Genomic DNA, 25,192 nt, shown 5'->3' on the forward strand with positions numbered 1-25,192 from the left:
TTTGTTCCTCTGGCTGCAGAGGCCAGTTGCCCTCTGGGGGCAGTTTGCAGGCAAATTATCTCAGGACGAGGCCTGTTTCCTCTAATGAGGCTTCCCCGCTTTGCAGCTCTGCTCCCAAGAGAGTTGGAGGGGACAATGCTCAGAGCCAACCCCAGAGGCCTGCACTGAGGAAGCATACATGGCTCACCATTCTACACAGTGTGGGCGGCACTACCACTATCCAAGGCAGGGGGATGCTCCCCACGACCTTCTGGGTGCAGGAATTCTGAGCAATGCAGCACCTCCTCCAAGGCCCCTCTGGGGAAACAGGGAGGAAAGGAGCAGGGAGGCATGCTCAGTTATGTAACCAGCTGCCTTGGAGTCAGAGTCCCTGGCATATCTCAGCCCAGCACTACGAGGAGAGGCTGTGGGGGCTGGGGGTCTTTCTTCTCTTTTGCTGCCTCCTCCAGACCTGGCAGACCCTGTAGCAGGCGCTGCTTTCCAAGTGCCTGAGCTCCAAGCAGGCACCTCCTACTTGGGGTTGGGAACCAGGAAAGCTGTTGTTTTCTGAGTGTGTGAAACAGTGGCCTGCTGGCTCCCTTGGCAGAAAGCCAGGCTCGGGGCTCTGCACAGGGGTGAGGGTTAAGAAAGAGGAGCCTGGGGCCAGGATGCCAAGGGACTTCCCTCCACAACCGCCCCCAGCTTCCTGCTCCCCAATCTCTCCCCACTTCCTCCTAGAGAATCTGCCGTGGGTGAGGGGCCAGAGGGGAGTGGCGCCAGCAGCCCCAGCACCACACTGCTGCTGCTGGCCCTGGGCAATCTCACTTCCCTTCCTGCCTTCCTTGGAGCTTCTCCGCTGGCCGGCACAGCCCCCACTCCCTGTGCCCCCACCCCCGCGCACTCAGCTGTGTACACTACCCTGGACCATGGAAAAGAGGGATGAAAGAGGAGGAAGGGGACATGGGAGAGGGAAGGAGCTGAGATCCACCCTCAGTCTTGAATGATGATGGCTTTTTTGTTGTTGTTGTTGAGACAGAGTCTCACTCTGTCACTCAGGCTGGAGTACAATAGTAAGATCTCAGCTCACTGCAACCTTCACCTCCCGGGTCCAAGCAATCCTCCCACCTCAGCCTCCCTGGTAGCTGGGATTACAGGTGTGTGCCACCACACCTGGCTAATTTTTGTATTTTTAGTAGAGACGAGGTTTCACCATGTTGGCCAGGCTGGTTTCGAACTCGTGACCTCAGGTCATCTGCCCACCTCAGCCTCCCAAGAGGCTGGGATTACAGGCGTCAGCCACCATGCCTGGCCGACAATGGCTTTTTATGAAGCCCTTACCCTCTCTGCCCACAGAAACCCCATTAATATTATTATACCTATTTCCCAAAGGAGAAAACTGAGGCCGGAGAGTTTAAGACCCAAGCTGAAGGTCATGGAGCTAGCAAGTGAGCAGTAGAGCAGAGTCTGCCTAACTCTGAATTCCAAACTCCAAACCTCCTGCCTCTAGCTCTGGGAGCCCCTCCTCCACACTCTCTGAGGGTGCTACTTGGGCAATTCCTACACAGATGGAAATGACACTGCCCAGCCCTGGGGAGGGAGCCCTCGGCCTTAAAGAGTCCCTCGCTGAGGACTAGTTTGGGAACCACAGGACAGTCCCAAAGACAGGACCAAGGCTCAAGGGCAGGACATGCTTGGGGAGCCAGGTGGGCAGACTGCTGCTCCCAACTGTCTTCCCTTCCCACCCAGTCTAGGCTGGCTCAGACTCCTACACTGTCTGCCACTTCCAGAAGGCAGGGCTGCCAGAGGCCAAGCTGTCCCGCCAGAATCACACTGCTGCTCACGCCCTCTCCCCTCCTAACGAGAGAAGGAAAGGGTCCTAGGGAGGAGCCTCTAGGCCAAAGCCTCTCCTACTTCCTGCTTGACACATAGAGAAACTGAGGCCCAATGAGGAAAAGCAGCTTGCCTATGGCAGCACAGGGACAGTGAAGAAGTGAGATCCCTGTCTCCCAGGCCAGAGCCCCTTCCCTCCATTCACCCCACTTGGGTGCTCTCCTCAGATGGCACCTTTGGGCATCTGCCCACTTCTCTCCCTCTTTCTCACCTTCCCTCTGCACTTCCTGCTTCCCTCTCCGAGCCCTGCTCTGCAGACCCATTTCTGAGCCTCCCCTGTTACATCTCCTCCCAGCCTCACCACCTCACCCCCCTTCCCTCTGCTCTGGGCCAAGGAGCAATGCTTGGGTGGTTTAATTAGCTGATTATGACCGCAGCCTGCTGGATGCAGTGCCCAGAATTCTGTCCCCAGTAATTAGGTGGGTTCTGAGTACTTGCCCAGTGGGGAGCCGATGGGGAGCTCTGTGCTCTGCCAGCCAAGGGAGGCTGTCCAGCTGAATAAAGAGCTCCTTGATCACCGGTGGGTCATCGGAAACCATGGTCCCCTCCTCAGGCCGGGTCAAACCACACTGGAGGGACTGCAGCCAGACCCAGATGTCCATCCTAAGGAGGGACTCCCTACTCTCCCATGCCACTGCCCACACCCGGGAAAGGCTCAGTACATGACTGAGGATGAGGATGAAGAATGGAGCGCGCCCTCCAGAGGCCGGGAGAGAATGGCTCCGTGGCCGGGGCACCTATTTAGGAAGTAGGATTGGACCAAGTAGACAGAGAGGCGCAGCAGGAACAAAGGCCCTGAGGCGGGAATGAGCCGCCAATCCCCTTCCCAGAGAGCTCTGGTTGTCAGAAAATACAGTCTTCAAGCAAGGTAAAGCTGAACATCCAGTGACCTCTGCCCTTTAGGTCACAAAGAATAATCTAATTCCTATGGCTCTGGGCTACTTTGAGATATTTTGAAATCAGCAATGATGTCCTATGGTCCTCACCAACCACACTGCCCACCCCCTAGAGTATCTCCTCCCAGCGAAATGCCTTGGCTGAACAAATATTTATGGAGCTCAGCGGCATGCCAGGTCTGCGCAGGTGCTGGGGACAAGCAGATCCAGGGTGCTCTTGAAAAGTTCTTGACCTCACAAGATGACATCATCACGAGTGTGCAAATAACCAGGACCTATGCAGGGAGGGAGGGATGAGTGCTGAGAGAGAGAGATTACAAGAAGGTCACAAAGCGCTGGGAATCCAGTGAGGGCTTCCCAGAGGAAGAGGTGTATGTGATCCAGGCCTTGAAGGATGGGACAGCTGTTGTATGTGGTCAAGTCAGCAATCAGGTACTGAAAGCCAGCAATAATACAGGCTTGTAATGAGGCCTTGGGAGGCTCAAAAAAATGAATCAAACAGGGTCCTTCCCTGGGGGAGCTCACAGCTGGGTTAGGGAGGCAGGGCCGGTGAGACGTCATATAAGCGATAAGAACCGCATAAAACTGACCTTGCACAGGGACTTTCTTTGCTTTATCTTACTTAATTTTAACTCAGTCCTCATGACAACCTACTACCCTATTTTACAGATAAGGGAGCCACAGCAGAGAAAGGGTTAAGTAATCAGGGAAGCCACCCAGCTGGTAAGTGTCAGAGCTGGGACTGGAAACCAGGAAATCTGGTTCTTCCAAGAGCCTAACCGCTATGCTAATCTGCTAATAATCCATGCTAATCAGATCACCGAAGGGCCTGCAGGTGCCCAGAGGAGGCCCCAGAGCAGCAGAGAAGGCTTCCTGGAGGAAGTGTTCCTGACCTGAGTATTTTTTTTTTTTTAAGACAGAGTCTTGCTCTGTCCCTCTGTCGCCCAGGCTGGAGTGCAGTGGCGTGATCTCGGCTCACTGCAAGCTCCGCCTCCCGGGTTCATGCTATTCTCCTGCCTCAGCCTCCGGAGTAGCTGGGACTACAGGCGCCCGCCACCACGCCCAGCTAATTTTTCATATTTTTAGTAGAGACAAGGTTTCACCGTGTTAGCCAGGATGGTCTCGAACTCCTGACCTCAAGTGATCCACCCGCCTCGGCCTCCCAAAGTGCTGTGATTACAGGCATGAGCCACTGCCCTGGACCTGCTACAGATGCTTTATGTCCCTGGAGGTGAACATGACTGCTGTTCAAGGACCTGATACCATGGGAGACAGCACTACCCTTTCGAGCAGTAGCCAATTCCTTCCTGGCCGCCAGCACCCAACACCCATCCCCACCCAGGACACACTCCCTGGTGGTCTCAGTCCCACTGGCCTGTAGCAGAGGCCTGAGACTTTGGCCGCCCAGAAGAAAGGTCACTCCTGGACCTGCTAGCAAAAGGGCCTCTCACCTGATTTGACTTCACAGGGAAACTAGGACCCAGAGAGGGTGCATGTCATGCCCAAGGTCACACAGCAATAAGTAAGCAGTAGAGCATGCCTCTGGGACCATTCTGAGATGGTGAGCCACAGCAGTCTACTCCCCACCCCTCCCCTGGCCCTATGCCAAAACCTGTCCATGCCCTTTGCACAAGGCAGGGGCAAGGGTGAAGAGGGAACAAACCTAGCAGAGGTTTGCTCACCCTCTGTCCAACCCTCTGTTCTCCAACCCCCTACTAGGACTCAAACCACCCCTAGGATGGACGCATCCTGCACACGGGAAGGCAGAAGAGAAGGTGCCCAGGAACCATCTGAGATGATACCTATTCTAATCCCAGGGCTCATGTGGGAGACAAGGCCCCAACTTCAGGAGCCCCCAGTGTGATGGGGGAAGAAAGGAAGAAAGAGTTCAGTCCAGTTCGACAAGCCTCCCTGCAAGGCTGAGGGAAGGGTGTGGCCGCACAAGGACCAAGTGAGTTGGTTGTGGGCTACAGGCCCAGGGCCAGCATGAAAGGGACCTCCTGCCTCATCCAGGCCCATACACGGGCTGTTGAACCACTGAATGGTTCAGACATTGCATCCTGCCTCCCGCTGACTCGACATCAGTCACAGTGCTTCCAGTGCTGAAGGCCCTTTAGACCAGCAGATCCCTCTCCAGGTGCAGGGAGGCAGAAGCTCAACTGTGGCCTCAGCCAGGTGCCGCCCAGCCCCAGGCAGAGGAAAAGCTGTTCAGTTCCTGCGGTGACCTTAGTCACACACAATTCTGGGGACCTGTCTTGTCCAACTCCCAGGGGCTTCATCTGGCACCAGGTCTCCTGGGAAGGAACAAGCAGTTCTTCTGAAGTGGGGCTAAAGATGGGGCCAGTCCCAGGAAGGAGGAGGCGCGTCTCCCGAGAGATGACCCTGCCAGGGCCCCTTAGGGAAGGCGGGAGGGGGCTGGGACAACAGAGTCCTTTGTTACCCTCTCAAAAGCAGCCACCCTGTCCTGCCAACCCCCTCTGTTCTCCAACCCCCTACTAGGACTCAAGCCACCCCTGGGACAGGAACCATCCTGTCCACATAGGAGGGAAGAACACAGGGTGCCCAGGGACCATCTGAGACGATACCTGTTCTAATCCCAGGGCTCACATGGGAGACAAGGCCCCAACCTCAGGAGCCCCCGGTGTGATGGAGGAGACATCCTTCCTTCAGAAGCCTCCAGTCTGAGGAGGGAGACATGGCTCCCACCTGCAAAAGCCAATCAGATGAGGGAGCCCCAGGCCTCCCGCTCAGGCGCCCCATGCTAATAGGAGTGGTATAACCCTGTCCCTCAGGACTTCCCAGTCTGATGGAGGAGTCAGGACCCCACCCCTCTCTTTTGAGAACTTGCCTAATGTGGGAAATATCGCTTTCAGTCTTACGATTCACTAATGGGAAAGGCCTAATTTCAGCACTTAGGGAGTCCCTGGACCGATAGCAGAGGCAAGAAGGGAAAAAAATTTTCAGTCCAGTTCAGCAAACCTCTGCCAGGCATCTCCTGGGGAAGCAGACCCAGCGTGGGTAAGGAAGCATCAACTGAGAAACAGAAATAGCCCTGAACCACAAGCTGCTTACCAAATGGGGAGCTCACTCAGCCTGAGGTATGAATGAATAAGAAAGTACCTTGAAACCACCCCCTCCAGCATCCAAGACCTGCTGGCCAAGGCTGTCCCTTCCTCCACAGCCTCACCCCTCACACTCCCACACCTGCAGCCAGTATCTGCACCTTGGCCTAGGCTCTTTCTTCTGTCTAGAACACCTTACTCCTGCCTAAGTCTTTCTCATACTCCAGCACCCAGCTCCGGGGTCACCTCTTCAAAGAAGCCTTCCTCCAAGTCCCCCACCTGAGTCAGAAGCCCCTCCTTTCTGGAGCCAGCACATTACATGTCTTCCCCAGGACCAGCTCACACTTCACAACCCCTCAGCCTGAGCCTGAAAGGAGAGCACAGGGCAGTGGTCTTCTGCCTCTGGACATAAGGCAGAGGGAGGGGGTGGATGAGATAAAACCCCTAGGTTCCCATACCCAGTCTTCACTGCCTGCCGCCATACTGCTTGCTCCCAGCCCAGGGCCTCACGCCCTTCCTCCAAGAGGCTCAAGCCTTGCTCCAGGCATGTAGAAAAGCAGGGTCCCCTCCCACTCCTCTCTGCCCGCTGTAGCCTAGTTTTGCCCTCACCACTCCACCAAAACCCATGCCACCAGCTAATGCCTTCTGGCTGAATCTGAGGGGTCTCGCTCCAGCTCATCCTCTGTGGGTCTGTCCCTGCTTCTTTGGCTCCAAGAATATGGCCTTCCGTCAGTTTCCTCCCTCTTCTCTCCATACCCAGGCACTGGTGCTCTCCAAGGCCCTGGCTGTCCCTAATCATCCTCTCTTCATACTCTATACCTCCTCCCTATGCGATGTCATTCATCCACATTTCCAAAGCCCTGCCTCGCACCTTGATTCTTACCCCAGGATCCAGACCCTTCTATGCAGAAGCCCCACTACGTCCAGCCTATAACAGACTGCCCTGGCTCCCTCACCAAGCTGCTCCCAGCCATGCAGGCCTCAGCCAGATGGTAGGCGCGGGCACTCTGGCAGTAGCGGAGCATGGCTGTGTAGAGGCCAGGACCTCACTTGGGGTGTGCTGACTCCCAGCCTGCTGTTCTACTGCCACCAACCCAAAGTGTCAGAAGCCCTGGAAGTGGCAAGCCCACAACTCAGGACCTCTGGACCCATGCCAACGGGAGGCGTCAGCCTCAGGCAAGGAGGCCCAAACTTGGAAGGAAGAGAGCAGTGGAGAAGTCTGAAGCCCAGAGGCCGGCCTGGAATCAGGGATCAGAGACAGTGGGCCAGACTTGATGCTACCACTCCCAGCGGCCCCATGAGCAGCCCTGGCCAAAGCCACAGGACTTCCCCATGTTCCAGCCAAGATGGGTCACACAGGGCTTAACCACCAAGAGAAATGACAGCCAAAGTTCACAGAGAGCTGGTGATTACATGTCCTCATCACCCTCCTTTCTCTGAAAAAAGAGGAGTTCATCTGCAGGAAAGGAAATTCCATTCCCTACCACTGCCTCTCAGGAAGTCCCTCCTGTTGTCTAAATCTGATCCTTCATGTTGTCTGTTGAGTAAGTGGAAACGGCAAGGCCCAGAAAGGACGCACAACTTGAGGCTGGGAGCTGCTGGGGAGGCCAACTGTGAGCCAGACAAGGCCCCCTCTCTTGGGCAAAAGCGTCGAGTAGCAGAGAGGGCTTTGTGGGTCAATAGGCCTGGGTTCTTATGCTTGCTGGCTGAATGGCAGTGAACAAATACTTAATCTCTTCTAGTCTGTTTCCTCATCTGCAAAATGGGGACAACAATGACTACACTACTAGATTACAGTTGAATTCATTGAGATTATGCGTGTAATTCTAACACACACCAGATACCTGGCAAAGGTCCAATCGACCAGCAAGGTTGATGGACTCCACCTCCTATTCACATTCATATTTCTCAACTCTATCCTCTCTGCAGCCTAAGTTCAGAGCTCACAGCCTTAGTTCTCAGGTTTCTCCCCAGCCTCCTCACTGGTCTTCCTGCTTCTAGGCCTGCTCTTCCCATCCACCCTACTTGGCGCTGCCAAAGACATCTCTCTGAAATGAAAACATCTGCTTCCAGCCCTCTGCTGCCTCACACTCTTCTCTGAATCACCATCCACTTCAGGAGAAAATGCTCTCTCCTTAGCCTGACATTCCCAGACTGCTGGTGACCGGTCTGTGTTTACCTCTTAAGGCTCACTATCATCCCCAGCCCAGGCCCCAGGCTGCACGCCTTGCTTCCTGCCTCCAAGCCACTGCACATTCTGCACCCTTGGCCAGAAATATCATTCCCAATCCCGCCCCCTTGGCCTATTCATCCTTCCAGATGAAGCTCAGTAGTTCCAACGCCACCTCCTTTCCAGGAGAGCTTCCTGTACCATGCTCCCTGCCTGGGCCTGGGTTGGGGACTTCTCCTTAAGCCTCCCACAACACATGTCATCCTGCGTTATGACCACCTGCTCTGCTCTAAATCCCTGGAGGACAGAGTAGACTCCTTCCTTGCTGAATCCCCAGGCCCTGGGCACTCAGAAGGCACTCATCAACATTTGTTGAATGAATATATGATTGTTCCCAGAGCACCTTGCAGCAACCATCATACTCCTGCCCTGTGATTAGTCCTGTCCAGGTATTTTTTTTTTTTATTTTTTCAGACAGGGTCTCACTCTCTCATCCAGGCTGGAGTGCAGTGGCATGATCATGGCTCACTGCAGCCTTAACCTCCAGGGCTCAAGTGATCCTCCCACTTCAGCCTCCAGAGTAGTTAGGACTATAGGCATGTGCCACCACACTCAGCTAATTTTTGTGTTTTTTGTAGAGATGGTATGTTGCCCAGACTGGTCTCGAACTCCTGAGCTCAAGCAATCTGCCCATCTCAGCCTTCCAAAGTTCTAGGATTACAGGCGTGAACCACCGCGCACAGCCCTGTCCAGGTATTTAACACCTCTTTCCCCCTTGACCCTGGGAGTTCCTAGAGGGCAATGACAGTTTGTGATAAATTTTCATTGTCACTTTCACATGGGGGTGCAATTCCAGATGGAGGGATGGTTGCGATGATTCCTGATGTTCAGTTTTTGATATCTGCAGATTCCTCTTCTAAGTCATAGGTACTCATGCCTTACGGAAAAAGACAAGGTACAGCCCATTACTGATTTTGCCCTTCTTTTCCAAATTACTTAGCCAACTGTCCGGAAAGGGACAGAAAGGCCTCATGGGGCTGCAGGAGAGTCTGAAGGGGAGGTCTGGGCCACCATCAGGTGGATTTAGCCGGGCCTTGGCTCCAGGCTTCAGGCAGTGCCTCTTCCCCTGCCCAGTGAAGTCAGTAAGTACAAGGGAAGCCCTAAAATGTAAGTATTGATAGCTCCAGTTTACAGATGGGAAACTAACGTCCGGAAAAGTAAAGGCAATTGCCCAATGTCCCAAAGGTCCACCAGTGAGTTTGAGGCAGGGCAGGGGGAGCCATGGAAAATACCTTGGCCTCAGAGACAGGGTCTCCAACAGGTGCCTGGAAGCCCATGGTGTCCACATCTTCCTGACAATCATGTCAGCAGGACAACAATGACACTTATCCCCCAAGTCACAGAGAGGTACAGAGAGACCCAAGAGAGGCTGAGTCACTCCGATCACAAGGCAGCCTAGGAAGGACAATGGAGTGGAGAATGGCTCCGACTCCCTGCTATGCCCTGCAGGAAGAAAAGCCTGACCTCATGGGTCAAGAGGGTCTTAATTTCAGGGCAGATGGATGTGGCTGGGGAAGGAGTCACATACCTTCCTACTGAGGACAGAGGCCTAGGTCACAGTGCTGGCCAGCCAGCTGCAATGGGGACTAGCCATCAAGGTTCATGCAGACACAGCATGATCTTCTGCCGTCCCCCCCAAAGCCTGGGCCTCCAGCACAGAGCAGGGCTCCCCTCCCTGGCCCATGAGGGGCCTGGCAGTGCCCTAGGGCCATCCACAGAGACATGACCAAGTGGACTCCAGCCTCCGCCCTGCCTCTGGCCCCTTTTGACCTTAGGCAAATCACATGGCCTCTAGCCCTCTGGTTCCTCTGCTAGAAAACAGGAAGAGGAAAATTAACCTCCTGGAAGAGCTGTCAGGAGGATGGCTGGAAAGTAGTTTCTAAACATTAAGAGCCTGAGTTGCCTCTGAGCCTGTTTCCTCCTCTAGAAAATGGAAATAATCTCTGCAAGCCCTTTCTCACACTGTGGAGAGAGAGTCTTAGATGGCAGTGGGTGAGAAATAGCTTTGTCAGTGGCCCTGAAAGGTGGTGCCCACCGGGGTGGTGTCTCTCTAGTCTGTTAGCTCCTTCAGGGGAGGAGTGGGCCTTGCGCATCTTTGATCCCCCACACTACGCCTAGTATACAGCAAGAGCTTAATAATAAATGGAAACGAGGAGAGGGGAGGGGAGGAAAGGAAGGAGGCAGAAGTCGGACACAAGAATAGAAGAGAAAGACAGAAAACAATGAGAAAGAGGGGGAGCCCAGGGAGAGGCTGCTGTGCCCACTTAGGGGGTGGGGAGGGCAACGGGGAAAATAGGGTGGCAACGCTGAGCCCCTGACCAGCGCTGGTCCTGTCTGAAGGGCTGCCCCCAGGGGCTGTCCTGCTCCAGCCCCCTCCTCCTTTTGTCCCAGTTTCCCCTTTCAGAGGCAGAGACTGTTTCTGAGTATTTCAGGACAGGTTCTAGGAGAACGGGAGGGGTTCTCCCAGCCCTAGGTTCAAAACAGCCCCTGGCCAGCCACTCCTCAGGAGGTCAGAGGGAAAGGGAACAGAGTAGATGGATGGGATCTATTTGGATGAAATGCGATCTGTTTTCCCCAGGCTGGGGGTGGCGGGGGGCGCTCTACCCTGTGTGATGTGTGTGTTTCCACTTCTGGCCATGTGGGGCCTGAAGCGTGTGTGTCAGCGGGCCTTGGGCTAGCAGCTCGTGCCTGTGGGGTGCCAGTCTTTGAGGGCATCAGTCTGATTGTGTCTGTGGGGGTCAGTGTTGGTGTGGCCTTGCGCTCCGCTGTGTTGGTGAGACATGCCAGCACAAGTGTGTGTGCCAGTGAGGGTGATGTGTGTGCCAGCAAGAGTGTTTGCTACAGCGAGTGCAGGTGACAGTGTGCGTATCAGTGTATGCCCACACGTGTGTGCCAGCACGAGGGTGTGCTAGAATTGGTGTGTGTTGGATTGTGAGCTGTGCATGCCAACAAGGCTGTCAGCAAGAATGTGTTGACCGAGGCGTGTATGACGGCGTGCCACTGCGTGTGATGAGCGTGTGCTAGCGGTTGCCAGTGTGTGCGCCAGCATGCCTGTGCCACGGGTTAGTGTGCCCGTGCGTGTATTGTGTGTCAACCTGCCCCCGTGCGTCTCTGCGGCTGCCGGCCAATGCTGGGTGTCAGCGAGCTGTGTGTCCGGGCCAGGAGCTGCGGCCCACATGGGGCGGCCCGGCCCTCGCCCTTTGGGTCCCCCCGCCCACGGCCCTGCCGGGGAGACCACACAGGAGACCTCGGGTGGAGGAGAGCTGGTACTAGATCCCGCGGTGGCCGCGAACGCAGAACCAGGACGCAATCGGAGCCCCCGCCCGTGTCCTCGCCGAGGTCGCCCCCACGCGCCCCCCGCCGGGCGGCCGCCCTGCACTCACCGGGTCCCTTTGTCGCCCATGGTCCGCGACGGTCGCAGGGAGGTCCGCGGCGTCAGCGCCCAGGCTGGAAAATCCCCAGCCAGCAGGAGGAGCGCGGGCCAGCCCGCTCCCGGCTCCCTGCTCCGCCTCCTCCGCTCTCCCGGCCGCCGCCGCCGCCCCCGCCCCCGGTCCCCGCCCGCCGCCCGCCGCGTCGAGCAGCGCAGCGCCCGGGCCGCGGCCAGGGGCGTGGAACCGCGCGGGGTGTGTGCGTGTGTGTATGTGTGTGTGTGTGCGCGTCTGCGTGTGCGCGCGCCGCCCAGCGAGGCAGGGCAGCGCGGCGGGACGCGTCAGGGCCCCAAGGTCGGCGTTTGTGGTGGGGGAGGGGGTCCACCCGCGTGCGAGTCCGTGTGAGAGTGTGTGTGTGTGTGTGTGGTGGTGGTGGTGGTGGTGTGGTGTATGTGAGGGCGCACGGCTGTGTGCGGGCCCTATTAGGGAGTGTATTGGTGTGGATGGAGGAGTGTGCACGTCTTTGTGCAGTTGTGCGTGTGTGCGCACGGCCGTGGGTGCGAGCGCGCTCTCCCGCGCATGCCGGGGCAGCCTTTGTGTGTGCGGGTGGTTGGAAGCCGAGGGTCTGGCGACCCCGAGGCCGCGCTCCCTGCGGCCCCTCGCTTAGCTGGAGACCCCGGGATGCCTGGCAAGGCCTTCGCCCTGTGCTCCACCCTTCCCCATTCCACCCACCCCACCCCCTTCTACTGGAGAGATAACACCCAGCCACACAACAGGGACAGGAAGAAGGGGCGGAGGGGGCAGTAGACGGCCTTGACACTGGGGAACTGAGCGGAGACCCGCGGCCAGCAGGGGCTGCAGGAGGCCGCCCAGGAAGAGGAAGCTGTGAGAAGTGAGAAGAGGCGATAAAGGAAGAGGGCAGAGCTGGCCCGCTGCTGTGACCGGGTAGCACCGTGGAAAGCGCCCATGCCCAGCTCCATGGCTCGCTGTGGGTGACCCTGTGCACTAAGCTTCTGAGAACCCATGTCCGGACCTGTAAAGTGAGGATACACTAATATCAGCCTGCAGAATTGTTAATAGGTTGAAAGAACTCGCTTGTGTTTGCTGGCCTCCCCTGAGCGCCTGCATACAGTAGGTGCCCAGTAGATGTTAGCCCACTTCTCTGCAGGCTTCTTGATGTCCTGTGAAATCTTGGCTGGGACCCTGCTTTGTCTGAGGTGCCTTCCTGCTTTGCAGGTAGTGGGAAACGGTAAGGTCTTTACCACACCCTCACTACTGAGATTTGGCTAATTATCCCGGATAGGTCCCTGATATCTAAGTATTAAGGGGAAAGTAAGCTATCATTTACTCTGATGCTGTTGTGAGTATGTAAACATCTCCTGTAATTATGCTCAGAAGCAGTTACCTATACTGTTTATATGCAGTATAATTACTATAATTATGTCCAGATTTGGCAGAGGGGCAGGGGGAGGCTGATGGGTAGGCAGGGTGGCCCACCTCTGGGCAATGTTAGGAGCTAGAGAGTATGGATGAAAGCCCAGAACCCTCCTCCCAGTCTTGGCCTCTGGGTTTCACCCTCTACAGAGGAAGAAGAGGAAGCCACCTGTTGTTTCTGCAGGGCTCAGAGATCTGGAAAGGAGCAGACTAGAATCTTCTTTGATGACAGGAGATCCCTAACCAGGATGGTGAAGCCAGGTCCTGCCACTCTCCACATCAGTTTCCCCACCTGTAAAACAGGTTTGACCAAACCATAAGATCTCCAATGGATCTCTCCATGCTGATGCCCAAAACATCTAAATATATTTATTTATTTTATTTATTTTTGAGACGAAGTCTTGCTCTGCCACCCAGGCTGGAGTACAATGGAATGATCTTGGCTCACTGCAACCTCTGCCTCCTGGGTTCAAGAAATTCTGCCACCTCAGCCTCCCCAGTAGCTGGAATTACAGCCACTGCCATCATGCCCAGCTAATTTTTGTATTTTTGTAGAGATAGGGATTCACCATGTTGGCCAGGCTGGTCTCGAACTCCTGACCTTAGGTGATCCACCCACCTTGGCCTCCCAAAGTGCTGGGATTACAGGCGTGAGCCACTGCTCCCGGTCGATTTAATTTACTTTAAATTCCAGTGAGGGAGCAACGATGGCAGAAGAAGAGTCAAGAGGACAATTTTGCTTTACCTGCCAGGCTCTATGAAAAACATATATATATATATATATATATATATATTTTTTTTTTTTTTTTTTTTTTTGAGACGGAGTCTTGCTCTGTCACCCAGGCTGGAGTGCAGTGGCGCAATCTCGGCTCACTGCAAGCTCTGCCTCCTGGGTTCGGGCCGTTCTCCTGCCTCAGCCTCCCGAGTAGCTGGGACTACAGGCGCCCACCACCACGCCCAGCTAATTTTTGAAAAACATATTTATGTATTAATAAAATGGCCGGGCATAGTGGCTCATGCCTGTAATCCTAACACTTTGGGAGGCCAAGGCGGGTAGATCACTTGAGGTCAGGCGTTCAAGACCAGCCTGGCTAACATGGTGAAACCCTGTCTCTCCTAAAAATACAAAAAAAAAAAAAAAAAAAAAATTAGCCAGGCATGGTGGCGGGCGCCTGTAGTCCTGGCAACTTGGGAGACTGAGGCAGGAGAATCACTTGAACCTGGGAAGTGGAGATTGCAGTGAGCCGAGATCACGCCACTGCACTCCAGCCTGGGTGACAGAGCCAGACTCCATCTCAAAAAAAAAAAAAATTAATAAAATGTAAAAGTGATAATGTTGAGGAGAACTCTTTGTATATCCACAATATAATCTCAGCCAGTAATAAGTTTTATGAAGAAAATAAAGCAATAATGAAACAGGGTGATAGGGACAAGTAGACTTAGAAAAAGGCCCTAGGCCCTCCGAGGAGGTGGGCTTTGGGCTGAAACCTGCGGAAAAGAATCAGCGATGTGAGGGGACAGTCAGGGAAGATGCTGCCCAGGCAGAAGGAGCAGCAACTGTAGAGGCGCAGGAGCAAGGACAGTGCTCCTGGTGTTGGTGAACAGGCAAGGGGTGGTACAGGTGAGGCAGCAGGGTTGGGGTCACACAGAACTTGTAGTTGAGGATGAGGAGTTTGGGGAGCCAGTGGGAGGTTTAAGCAGCTGAGCACCAGTATCTGCTTTACATTTTTAAAGGTCACTCTAACTGTTGGATAGAGATGACTTGGTACTGGACAACAGCAGAGGCAAGGCACCCCATTATTGCAGTCGTCAGGGTGGGGTTTTGGGCAAGACAGGTGGCCACAGAAATGAAGGAAGTAATGGGGTTCAGGATATATTTGGGAAGCAGATTTTTTTTTTTTTTTGAGACAGAGTCTTACTCTGTTGCCCAGGCTGGAGTGCGGTGGCACGATCTCAGCTCACTGCAAACTCTGCCTTCCAGGTTCAGGCGATTCTAGTGCCTCAGCTTCCTAAGGTAGCTGTGACTACAGGCGCATGCCATCCTGCCCAGCTAATTTTGTATTTTTAGTAGAGACACGGGATTTCACCTCAAGTGATCCACCCGCCTCGGCCTCCCAGAGTGCTGGGATTACGGGCGTGAGCCACCACGCCTGGCCGGGTTCAGGATATATTTGAAAGGGGAGCTGCCAGCACCTACTGAGGGACTGGCTGTGAATAATGGAGGATCCAGGATGACTCAGAGGTTTGGGTCAGGGTCTGTCTGTGCCAACTCTCCATGTAATTCTCCAAGGGAAGTCACGGTCGAGAGGACTGGTGGCCTCCATTCTTCCCGTCAACCCATTTGTGTCACATCCTCCACCTGAGCAACAGAGTGATTTTTGCTCAAAGGCAAATGGCTTCTGCAGCTGAGGCTCATAGGAGATGGTCATCTCCAACTGTGTTCCAACTAGGGCGAGTCACATGCCTGAAATTTACCACTCACAATCATTTCTTATTAAAAAATGAGAAAGGGTGGTTCTGGGTGTGGTGGCTCATGCCTGTAATCCCAGCACTTTGGGAGGCTGAGGCAGGAGGATTGCTAGAGCCCAGGAGTTTGAGACCAGCCTGGGCAACATAGTGAGATCTCTACAAAAAATAAAAAAACAAAAAACTAGCTGGGTTTGGTGGTGTGTGCCTGTAGTCTTAACTACTCGGGAGACCAAGGAAGGAGGATACCTTTAGACCAAGAGTTTGAGGCTGCCATGAGCTATGATTATACCACTGCACTCCAGCCTGTGCAGAGACCCCTGTCTCTTTAATAAAAAAAAAAAAGAAGAAGAAGAAAGAAAGCAAGAAAAAAAAAAAAGAAAGAAAGCAAGAAAAAGAAAAGAAAGAAAAGGAGAGATAGAGAGAGAGAAAGGAAGTATTATGTCTGCTTTTTAGATGAGAACACAAAACTTTACAAGGGAAACTGCTTAAGCCAAGGGCATAGCAAATGAAAGGTAGAGCAAGGACTCAAACCCAAAGCTTCTGCGTAGCTGGGCAGGTAGCTGAGTGTCAGACTAAAGTCAGACTGAAGTGTAAGTGAGTGGGTGGATGAGTTTTCAGCTCCTTGTTCAACAAAGGACTTGAGCTGGGTGTGGTGGCTCACGCCTGTAATCCCAGCAATTTGGGAAGCTGAGGTGGGTGGATCACCTGAGATCAGGAGTTCAAGACCAGCCTGGCCAACACCCTGTCTCTACTAAAAATACAAAAATTAGCCAAGTGTGGTGGCACGCGCCTGTAGTCCCAGGTACTCAGGAGGCTGAGGCAGGAGAATCGCTTGAACCTGGGAGATGGAAGTTGCAGTGAGCCGAGATCATGCCACTGCTCTCCAGCTGAGGCGACGGAGTGAGACTCCATCTCAAAAAAAAAAGGACTTGAGCCTGACTGAAGCCTTACTGATGTGCTCCTTCAAGATGTTAGAAATTGAGAAACTAATAAGGAGCTTCCCTACCTCTGCCCAACCAGAAATCTGAGTGTGATCCTTGACTCCTTTCTTGTCCACCTCACTCCTTAGCTACCTAGTCCCGGACTACCTCCTAAGTGTCTCCCAATAAAGTTGGAGGGGTACCAGGAACGAGACCATGCTGGGCCTGGAGGGTCATGTAAGGAATTTGTTCTTCATCCAAGTATCAATGAAGAGGCTGTGCAGAGAGGTGACATGATCAGACATGCATTTGGAGAAGATGCTCTGGTGGATGTGTGAAGAATGGATTGGACATGCACCAAAAGGGATGCAGACAGGAAGACCAATTAGGACATGGTGTCAGCAATTCAGAGGGAGGAATGATAACTGCATTCCAGAGAGAGGACACACAACAGCTGCAAAGCCAGGAAGGAAGGAAAAGGCACAATGCTTGGGGGAATTCAGATGGATCTGTGGCGAAAGCAGAGTAGTGGGGAAGGATTGGAAAGGAAGATGGGGCCGTATCCTGAGGAAGCAGGCTCAGACAAGGCATCTCCCCAGTATGGCTCAGGGCCTGTTTTAGGTTTGTCTAACAAGATCTCCAGTCCCCATTTTCCTAAGATGGGATTGTTGGTATTTATCACTAGGTGGACATTTCAATGTTATCTTTTTTTTTTTTTTTTTTTGAGATGGAGCCTCGCTCTGTTGCCCAGGCTGGAGTGCAGTGGTGCGATCTCGGCTCACTGCAACCTCTGCCTCCCGGGTTCACGCCATTCTCCTGCCTCAGCCTCCGGAATAGCTGGGACTATAGGCACCCACCACCACGCCCAGCTAATTTTTGGTATTCTTATTTTTAGTAGAGACGGGGTTTCACCGTGTTAGCCAGGATGGTCTTGATCTCCTGACCTCGTAGTCTGCCCGCCTCGGCCTCCCAAAGTCCTGGGATTACAGGCGTGAGCCAACGTGCCCAGCATCAAAATTCTCATTTGTAATCAACAAAAACCAATTCTGGCAGACTTAAACATACAAAAAAATTATTGGCCATATATTCAGGTAGCTGCCACTGCTGAACAATGGACACCACAGTTCACATCTCCACTTTCTCCAGCACCAAACCCAACCCCATTGCTGCCCCCAGAAACTAGATATGGCCACTGCTGCCTCTGTCACCATGATGGACTCTTTGTTGGCCCTACATCTTTGAGTCAAAGTCCCCCATGCATTTGATTGGCTGAGTCTAGGTTATGTGGTCCCACCCTTGCTTCAAGGATGCTGAGAAACTGTGTAGATGGCATTTGAGATTTCCATTCTGGGAGGTGGGCTTTGACTTACTGTAAGACTCATGGGATAGAGAATTCCCCAAACATGAGAATAGAGTTTAGAGGCTGAGCAGCCAAAAACAATTCAAGTATCCACTTCACTATGAAATGCAACTGGGTGAGTTATAGGAATAGCTCAGAATGGGAGGCAACATGAAGGGATAGATGTCCTTGCTGACAGGCCTTTGCCAGGATGCCTTAGTGTTGCTAGCTTTCTAAAACAGGGAGAAAATGATTCTGACTCTGTTAATGGTGGAGTATTATCCTCCACCCTCCTCCAGATAACAATATAAATGTTGGACAAAATATAAAAACAAGGATTTGGCTGGGCATGGTGGCTCAAGCTTGTAATCCCAGCACTTCAGGAGGCCAAGGTGGGAGGATCGCTTGAGCCCAAGAGTTCAAGACCAGCCTGGGCAACATGCGAGACCCTGTCTCTGGAAAAAAAAAAAATTTTCTTTTTTTTTTTTTTGCCAGGTACAGTTGCTCAAGCCTGTAATCCTAGCACTTTGGAAGGCAAGGCAGGTAGATCAGCTGAGGTCAGGAGTTCAAGACCAGCCTGGCCAACAAGGTGAAACCCCGTCTCTACTAAAATACAAAAATTAGCCAGGCATGATGGTGGGTGCTTGTAATCCCAGCTACTTGGGAGGCTGAGATGGGAGAATCGCTTGAACCCAGAAGACAGTGGTTGCAGTGAGCCGAGATCACACCACTGCACTCCAGCCTGGGTGGCTGAGTGAGAGTCTGTCTCAAAAAACAAAAATTTTTTTTTAATTCACCGGGCGTGGTAGCGTGCACCTGTAGTCCCAGCTACTTGGGAGGCTGAGGCAAGAGGATGGCTTGAGCCCAGGAGTTTGAGGCTGCAGTGAGCTGAGATTGCGCCACTGCACTCCAGCCTGAGTGACAGAGTAAAACGCTGTATTTGAATTAAAAAACAAAAACAAGGATTTGAAAGCACTGCAGAGCAAACAAAAACAGTCTGAAATTGGAGGAGATTCACCCTTGTTAGATGGGAACCACACTGGGGAAATCTCGTTTTCTATACTTTCCTCCTGAAGGCGCTACCCAATCTGGGCAGTGCATGGAAGCTAGGACTCAGGAAGAAATCTCTAGGACGCAGGAAGCTGCTTGAGATATTAAAGGGTGGAATTAGGGGCTGCTAAAATGGCTAGAAATTGAAGGAGAAATCCTGGAAAGAAGAGGGGCACAAAGGGGGTAAGCCCCCAAATAAGTATTTGACAGAAAAAGTATTTGAATTTCATAAATTTGATGAAAAACCTCATTAGAAATCCAAAAAGTTTAGCAAAATCCAAGTATGATAAATACGAAGAAAACAATACCTAAACACATCATAATCAAACTGTTAAAAACAAAAAAGAAAGAAAAAGTCTTTTTTTTTTTTTGAAACAGAGTTTTGCTGTTGTTGCCCAGGCTGGAGTGCAAAGGCGTGATCTCAGGTCACCACAACCTCCACTTCCCAGGTTCAAGCAATTCTCCTGCCTCAGCTTCCCGAGTAGCTGGGATTACAGGCATGCGCCACCACGCCCGGCTAATTTTGTATTTTTAGTAGGGACGGGGTTTCTCCATGTTGGTCAGGCTGGTCTCGAACTCCTGACCTCAGGTGATCTGCCCACCTCGGCCTCCCAAAGTGCTGGGATTACAGGCGTGAGCCACCATGCCCAGCAAGAAAGAGAAAGTCTTGACAGTAGCCATAGAAAAAGACATAATAGCAAACAGATTACGTACAGAGAAACAATACAAATGAATCCTGACTTCTCATCAGAAACCATGGAGCCAGAAAACAATGGAATATCATCTTTAAAATGCTGAAAAGTAAACAAAAACCTGTCAGTCCAGTGAAATAAAGATCTTTTCAGATAAATGAAAGCATAGGGCATTAATTGCCAGCAGACCTGCAGAATAAGAAATGTTGCTGGGCACGGTGGCTCACTCGCAGTCATCTCAGCAATTTGGGAAGCCAATGAAGGAGAATCGCTTGAGTCCAAAATGTAGCACAATGCCCGGCTAATTTTGTATGTGTGTGGAGACAGGGGTCTCATTATGTTGCCCAGGCTGGTCTCAAACTCCTGGGCTCAAGTGATCCTCCTGCCTCAGCCTCCCAAAGCGCTGGGATTACAGGCATGAGTCACCATGCCTGCCCCCCAGAAGTTAGATCTTTAGAAGGGTATGAAAGAATACTAGAAACAGTGAGTATATGGACAAATACATGAACAAATTTTTTTCTCTGCTTTTAATTGACTGGTGAACATCAAAATAATATTTTATTGTGGAGTTTTTAATGCATGTAGAAGTGAAATGTGTGGCAACAATAGCATAAAAGACAGATAAATTGAATTATATTGTTGTAAGGTTCATATTTTTTTTTTTTTTTTTTTTTTTAGACAGAATCTCCCTCTGTCACCCAGGCTGGAGTGTGCAAGGGCGCCATCTCAGCTCACTTCAATCTCCACCTCCTGGATTCCAGCAATTCTCCTGCCACAGCCTCCCAAGTAGCTGGGATTACAGGCACCTGCCATCATGCCCAGCTAATTTTTGTATTTTTGTAGAGACAGGGTTTCACCATGTTGTCCAGGCTGGTCTTCTTTTTTTTTTGAGACAGAGTCTTGCTCTGTCGCCCAGGCTGGAGTGCAGTGGCGTGATCTCAGCTCACTGCAAACTCCGCCTCCCAGGTTCAAGCGATTCTCCCACCTCAGCCTCCCCAGTAGCTGGGACTACAGGAGTGTATCACCACACCTAGCTACTTTTTGTATTTTTAGTAGAGATGGGGTTTCACCATGTTGACCAGGCTGGTCTTGAACTCTTGACCTCAGGTGATCCACAGGCCTCGGCCTCCCAAAGTGCTGGGATTACAGGCGTGAGCCACCGCACCCAGCCTATATCTTTTATTCTGAATAAACTGTGATAGGTTATGGAGGTATATTGTAATCCCTAGAGGAACCACTTAAAAATACAGGAAGTAGGTATATTTAAATGAAGTACTAAAAATACTTGATTAACCTGAAAGAGGACAGAAAGGAAAAAGAGAACAAAAAACAGATGGGACAAAAAAGAAACACAGCAAAATGGTAGATCTAAATCTTACCATATAAAAACTGCATTAAGGGGCGGGGTGCGGTGGCTCACGCCTGTTGTCCCAGCACTTTGGGAGGCCAAGGCAGGTGGATCACCTGAGGTCGGGAGTTCGTGACCCACCTGACCAACATGGAGAAACCCTGTCTCTACTAAAAATACAAAATTAGCCGGGTGTGGTGGCACATGCCTGTCATCCCAGCTACTTGGGAGGCTGAGGCTGGAGAACTGCTTGAACCTGGGAGGTGGAGGTCACGGAGAGCCAAGATCGCGCCATTACACTCCAGCCTGGGCAACAAGAGTGAAACTCTGTCTCAAAAAAAAAAAAAAACTGCAGTAAGTATATATGGACTAAACATTCTAATTAAAAGAATAACAAAGCAAGGCTCAATTTATACTGCCTTCAAAACATGTACTTTAGGCAGGGCGCAGTGGCTCACACCTGTAATCCCAGCACTTTGGGAGGCCGAGTTGAGGTCAGGAGTTTGAGACCAGCCTGGCCAACATGGTGAAACCCTGTCTCTCCTAAAAATACAAAAATTAGCCAGGCGTGGTAGCACATGCCTGTAATCCCAGCTACTCGGGAAGCTGAAGCAGGATAATCACTTGAACCCAGGAGGTGGAAGTTGCAGTAAGCCAAGATCGCGCCACTGCACCCCAGCCTGGGCAATGAGTGAGACTCCATATTTTTTAAAAATTTAATTAATTAAATTAAATATATATATGAAATAAAAGGCACAAATATTGAGAAGAAAAAAGTAGAGCTGTCTATATGTGCAGATTACATGAATATTTACATATAAAATATTAAGGAATGTATAAAACTGCTAGAATTAATAAACAATATATGAAAATCTATTGTGTTTCTAAAAATAAAAAAGAAATTGAGATTTAAATTTCTATTTATAATAGCATCAAAAAACACAAAGTACTTAAGAATAAATTTGGCTGGGCACAGTGGCTCACACCTGTAATCCCAGCACTTTGGGAGGCCAAGGCCAAGGCAGATGGATCACCTGAGGTCAGGAGTTCAAGACCAGCCTGGCCAACATAGTGAAACCCTGTCTCTACTAAAAAAAATACAAAAATTAGCCAGGTGTGGTGGCGCACATCTGTAGTCCCAGCTACTCGGGTGGCTGAGTCAGGAGAATCCCTTGAACCCGGGAGGCAGAGGTTGCAGTGAGCCGAGATCCAACACTGCACTCTAGCCTGGGCAAGAGAGTGAGATGCTGTATCAGAAAAATAAAAAATAAAAAAAATAAAAAATAAATTTAACTAAAGACATGTAAGACCTCTATCTTTACACTGAAAATCATAAAACGTTGTTGAAAGTAATCAAAGAGCTAAACAAATTAAGAAACATAACAAATTCATGGTTTGTAAGACACAATATTAAGCTGTTATTTTCCCAAAATTGTTCTATAAATCCAATACGATAAGCTTTGTTGTAGACATTTATATGGAAATAGCAAAAGCAATCTTGGTGGTGAGGGGGAGACAAAGTTGGAGGACACATACTACCTGATTTTAAAATTTATTCTCAAGCTACCATTATGAAGACTGAATGGGGCTGGGCACAGTGGCTCACACCTATAATCTCAGCTCTTTGGGAGGCTGAGACAAGCAGATCACTTGAGACCAGGAGTTCGAGACCAGCCTGGCCAACATGATGTAATCCTATCTCTACTAAAAATACAAAAATTAGCTGGGCGTGGTAGCACATGCCTATAATCCCAGCTACTTGGGAGGCTGAAGTATGAGAATCGTTTGAACCCAGGAGTTGGAAGTTGCAGTGAGCCGAGACTGCACTACTGCACTCCAGCCTGGGTGACAGAGCAAGACGCACACACACACACACACACACACACACACACACACACACACACACACACAAAAGACTGAATAGTACTAGTCTAAGGATAGACAAATAGGTTAATGGGATGGAAATAGCCCCATAAGAATATGGTCAACTGTCAGCATCCCCTTTTGGATTGTAAGCTTTGTATCTGTGTCTGTATTTGCCTGGTTTCTAACTGCACCCCCAGAGCCTAGAACAGAGCTGATTACTTCGTGTGTGTATTGTAACTGAATAATCAGAGCCTAGTATAGTAAGTGCTCAATAAATATTTATTGAATAAATGTATTTTAAGAAATGGGGTGGACATAACAATCTGGTCCTCTCCCAGGGCCAAGCTATATGCTTTTTTAAAAAAATTATTTACGTATTTATTTATTTATTTTTGAGACTGAGTCTCACTGTGTCCCTAGGCTGATGTGCAATGGTGTGATCTTGGCTCATTGCAACCTCTGCCTCCCAGGTTCAAGCAATTCTCCTGCCTCAGTCTCCCAAGTAGCTGGGATTGCAGGTGCCTGCCACCACACCCAGCTAATTTTTGTATTTTTCGTAGAGACAGGGGTTTCACCATGTTGATCAGGCTGGTCTCAACTCCTGACCTCAGGTGATCCACCCACTTTGGCCTCCAAAGTGCTGGGATTACACGCATGAGCCACTGTGCCCAGCCCAAACTGTATGCTTTTAGACATGCTAATTCTGGAGGATGAGAGATCACCCTACCTTACTCTATTCCCACTTCTCCTAGTTCCCTTTGCTGGAGTCCTCTCTTTCCTTTCTTTTAACCATCCAGAAAATCAGCACTACTGGCTCCCTGATCTGCACTGTCCCCAACCCCCCGACTACTGTGGACCCTCCAAAATTCAGAAAGCAGATCATGCTAGGGGCTCTAGAGGTTCTCCTCCAGCAGAACCAAGATGGAGGAAGAATGAGAGGCTGGGCTGGAATTGCCCCCTTGGAAGGGTGACCAACTGCACAGGTTTCCCAGATGCGGGGGTTTCCTGGGACATAGGGCTATGAGTTTTTAAACTAGGACAGTCCTGAGGAAACCAGGGATTACACCCACCTCCTGGGAATCCTCCAGCTTCCTTCATCAGAAAGGGATGGACTATACCTCTCCCATGGTGGGGACTGCCAACCCTAGGGTCAGCAGTCTTTTTGTAATGATGGTTTAAATATCCAGAGCAAAGATGGCTCCATATTCTCACCCCCAAAACAGGGTCTGAAGCTTAGGAAGCGCTAGATAATTGTTGGATGATGAGCGTGCTTAGGAGCAGGAGAAAGGGCCCTGCCCTCTGGGACCCCCTGAATCCAAGGTGGGCTGTTTTCTACAGCTCCAACCCCTCCTTCCTGCACACTTTGCACCTCTCCCAAGCAGGGAAACGGCTTTCTTGCCCCATCCAGCCCCATCATATCCCTGCCCACTCTGCACGTTCTATCAAGCACCAGCATGTTTCTGCAGTCAACATTTATGTACATTTTAATTATTTTTATAAAAGCATTACTTTTTAAAAAAGTTTCAATATAGAATGTTAGTAAGGGAAAAGTCAAAGCCCCACCCCACCTCATCCCACGCTGCCCTATACCCCTCTCTTTTTTTTTTTGAGATGGAGTCTAGCTCTGTTGCCCAGGCTGGAGTGCAGTGGCGTGATCTCAGCTCACTGCAAGCTCCACCTCCCAGGTTCACGCCATTCTCCTACCTCAGCCTCCCAAGTAGCTGAGACTATAGGCACCCAACACCATGCCCATGCCCAGATAATTTTTTGTATTTTTAGTAGAGACAGGGTTTCACTTTGTTAGCCAGGATGGTCTCAATCTCCTGACCTTGTGATTAGCCTGCCTTGGCCTCCCAAAGTGTTGGGATTACAGGCGTGAGCCACTGCGCCCAGCCCTTAACCCCTCTCTTAAAAAAACTTTATTTTTACCTTTTCTGCTTTTAGCTATGGTAGTTTGTACCACAAATCTGATTGATATGCATATACCTCAATTTCTTGATTTATCCACTTGAATTAACATTTATTGACTCTTCTCATGAAAAAGGACATTTGCTCATTTACTTTAATGCTCATCTCCCAATCCTTTCTACGTTGTGTTGTAGTGTTAGTTTAGTCTTCCATTGATTGATAATTGCTTAAAACCTTTATTTCCATTCCTATGCACTTTAGATAGTATCTGTCATTTTTTTTCTTTTTTTTGTTTTTTATAATAGAGATGGGGGCTCAACATATTGCCCAGGCTGGTCTCGAACTCCTGGGCTCAACTGATCCTCCTGCCTTGACCTCCCAAAGTGCTGGGATTAAGGCTTGAGCCAGCGTGCCTGGCCAAGATAGCATCTCTTGATTTATACTATGTAAAATGAAAAAGTTAGCATCTGTGCAGTGTTTGATCTCTCCTCTTCTCCTCCAGCCTTCTGACACTGATAGTTATACTGTTACATTGCTAAGAGTTATAATATTTAAATTTATTCTGTAACTATAATGAAGTCTTCCATGCTTTATCTAGAGAGTAATTCTGCTCATTTAAATCCAATAAATAGTATTTTCAATATTACAATTAGAAACAAATTCTAATTTGAGACTATATTAGATTCATAAAACAAGAAAGAACTGCTAATAAAGGGATCAATTAGACAACATGAAAGAGTC

At 50.8% G+C, this 25,192-nt stretch overlaps 1 protein-coding gene across 4 annotated transcripts in view, besides 9 other annotated features; it reads right to left on the reverse strand.

Moving 5' to 3' along the window:
* Positions 1–11,514, reverse strand: part of ARRB1 (arrestin beta 1) — a 91,540-nt gene extending 80,026 nt beyond the window's left edge. For all 4 annotated transcript variants that reach the window (NM_020251.4, XM_017017754.3, NM_004041.5 and 1 more), the window contains exon 1: positions 11,441–11,514. In NM_020251.4, the coding sequence (NP_064647.1) occupies positions 11,441–11,460 (20 nt within the window). In that variant the 5' untranslated portion in view covers positions 11,461–11,514. The remainder of the gene's footprint in view (positions 1–11,440) is intronic.
* Positions 374–1,237: an enhancer, noted in NCBI's record as "H3K27ac-H3K4me1 hESC enhancer chr11:75051565-75052428 (GRCh37/hg19 assembly coordinates)". NCBI's record gives its function as "activates a minimal SCP1, AML or CMV promoter by ChIP-STARR-seq in naive H9 embryonic stem cells {active_cell/tissue: H9 hESC(naive)}" and the evidence as "EXISTENCE:reporter gene assay evidence [ECO:0000049][PMID:30033119]".
* Positions 601–790: an enhancer, noted in NCBI's record as "active region_5265". NCBI's record gives its function as "activates an Ori minimal core promoter by ATAC-STARR-seq in GM12878 lymphoblastoid cells {active_cell/tissue: GM12878}" and the evidence as "EXISTENCE:reporter gene assay evidence [ECO:0000049][PMID:35858748]".
* Positions 1,238–2,101: an enhancer, noted in NCBI's record as "H3K27ac-H3K4me1 hESC enhancer chr11:75052429-75053292 (GRCh37/hg19 assembly coordinates)". NCBI's record gives its function as "activates a minimal SCP1, AML or CMV promoter by ChIP-STARR-seq in primed H9 embryonic stem cells {active_cell/tissue: H9 hESC(primed)}" and the evidence as "EXISTENCE:reporter gene assay evidence [ECO:0000049][PMID:30033119]".
* Positions 5,788–5,837: a silencer, noted in NCBI's record as "silent region_3762". NCBI's record gives its function as "represses an Ori minimal core promoter by ATAC-STARR-seq in GM12878 lymphoblastoid cells {active_cell/tissue: GM12878}" and the evidence as "EXISTENCE:reporter gene assay evidence [ECO:0000049][PMID:35858748]".
* Positions 6,372–6,885: an enhancer, noted in NCBI's record as "H3K4me1 hESC enhancer chr11:75057563-75058076 (GRCh37/hg19 assembly coordinates)". NCBI's record gives its function as "activates a minimal SCP1, AML or CMV promoter by ChIP-STARR-seq in primed H9 embryonic stem cells {active_cell/tissue: H9 hESC(primed)}" and the evidence as "EXISTENCE:reporter gene assay evidence [ECO:0000049][PMID:30033119]".
* Positions 6,886–7,399: an enhancer, noted in NCBI's record as "H3K4me1 hESC enhancer chr11:75058077-75058590 (GRCh37/hg19 assembly coordinates)". NCBI's record gives its function as "activates a minimal SCP1, AML or CMV promoter by ChIP-STARR-seq in primed H9 embryonic stem cells {active_cell/tissue: H9 hESC(primed)}" and the evidence as "EXISTENCE:reporter gene assay evidence [ECO:0000049][PMID:30033119]".
* Positions 10,655–10,704: an enhancer, noted in NCBI's record as "active region_5266". NCBI's record gives its function as "activates an Ori minimal core promoter by ATAC-STARR-seq in GM12878 lymphoblastoid cells {active_cell/tissue: GM12878}" and the evidence as "EXISTENCE:reporter gene assay evidence [ECO:0000049][PMID:35858748]".
* Positions 11,255–11,534: a silencer, noted in NCBI's record as "silent region_3763". NCBI's record gives its function as "represses an Ori minimal core promoter by ATAC-STARR-seq in GM12878 lymphoblastoid cells {active_cell/tissue: GM12878}" and the evidence as "EXISTENCE:reporter gene assay evidence [ECO:0000049][PMID:35858748]".
* Positions 11,767–12,722: an enhancer, noted in NCBI's record as "H3K27ac-H3K4me1 hESC enhancer chr11:75062958-75063913 (GRCh37/hg19 assembly coordinates)". NCBI's record gives its function as "activates a minimal SCP1, AML or CMV promoter by ChIP-STARR-seq in naive H9 embryonic stem cells {active_cell/tissue: H9 hESC(naive)}" and the evidence as "EXISTENCE:reporter gene assay evidence [ECO:0000049][PMID:30033119]".

The sequence above is a fragment of the Homo sapiens genome, chromosome 11 (genome assembly GCF_000001405.40).
Source record: "Homo sapiens chromosome 11, GRCh38.p14 Primary Assembly".
Classification (NCBI taxonomy): Eukaryota; Metazoa; Chordata; class Mammalia; order Primates; family Hominidae; genus Homo; species Homo sapiens.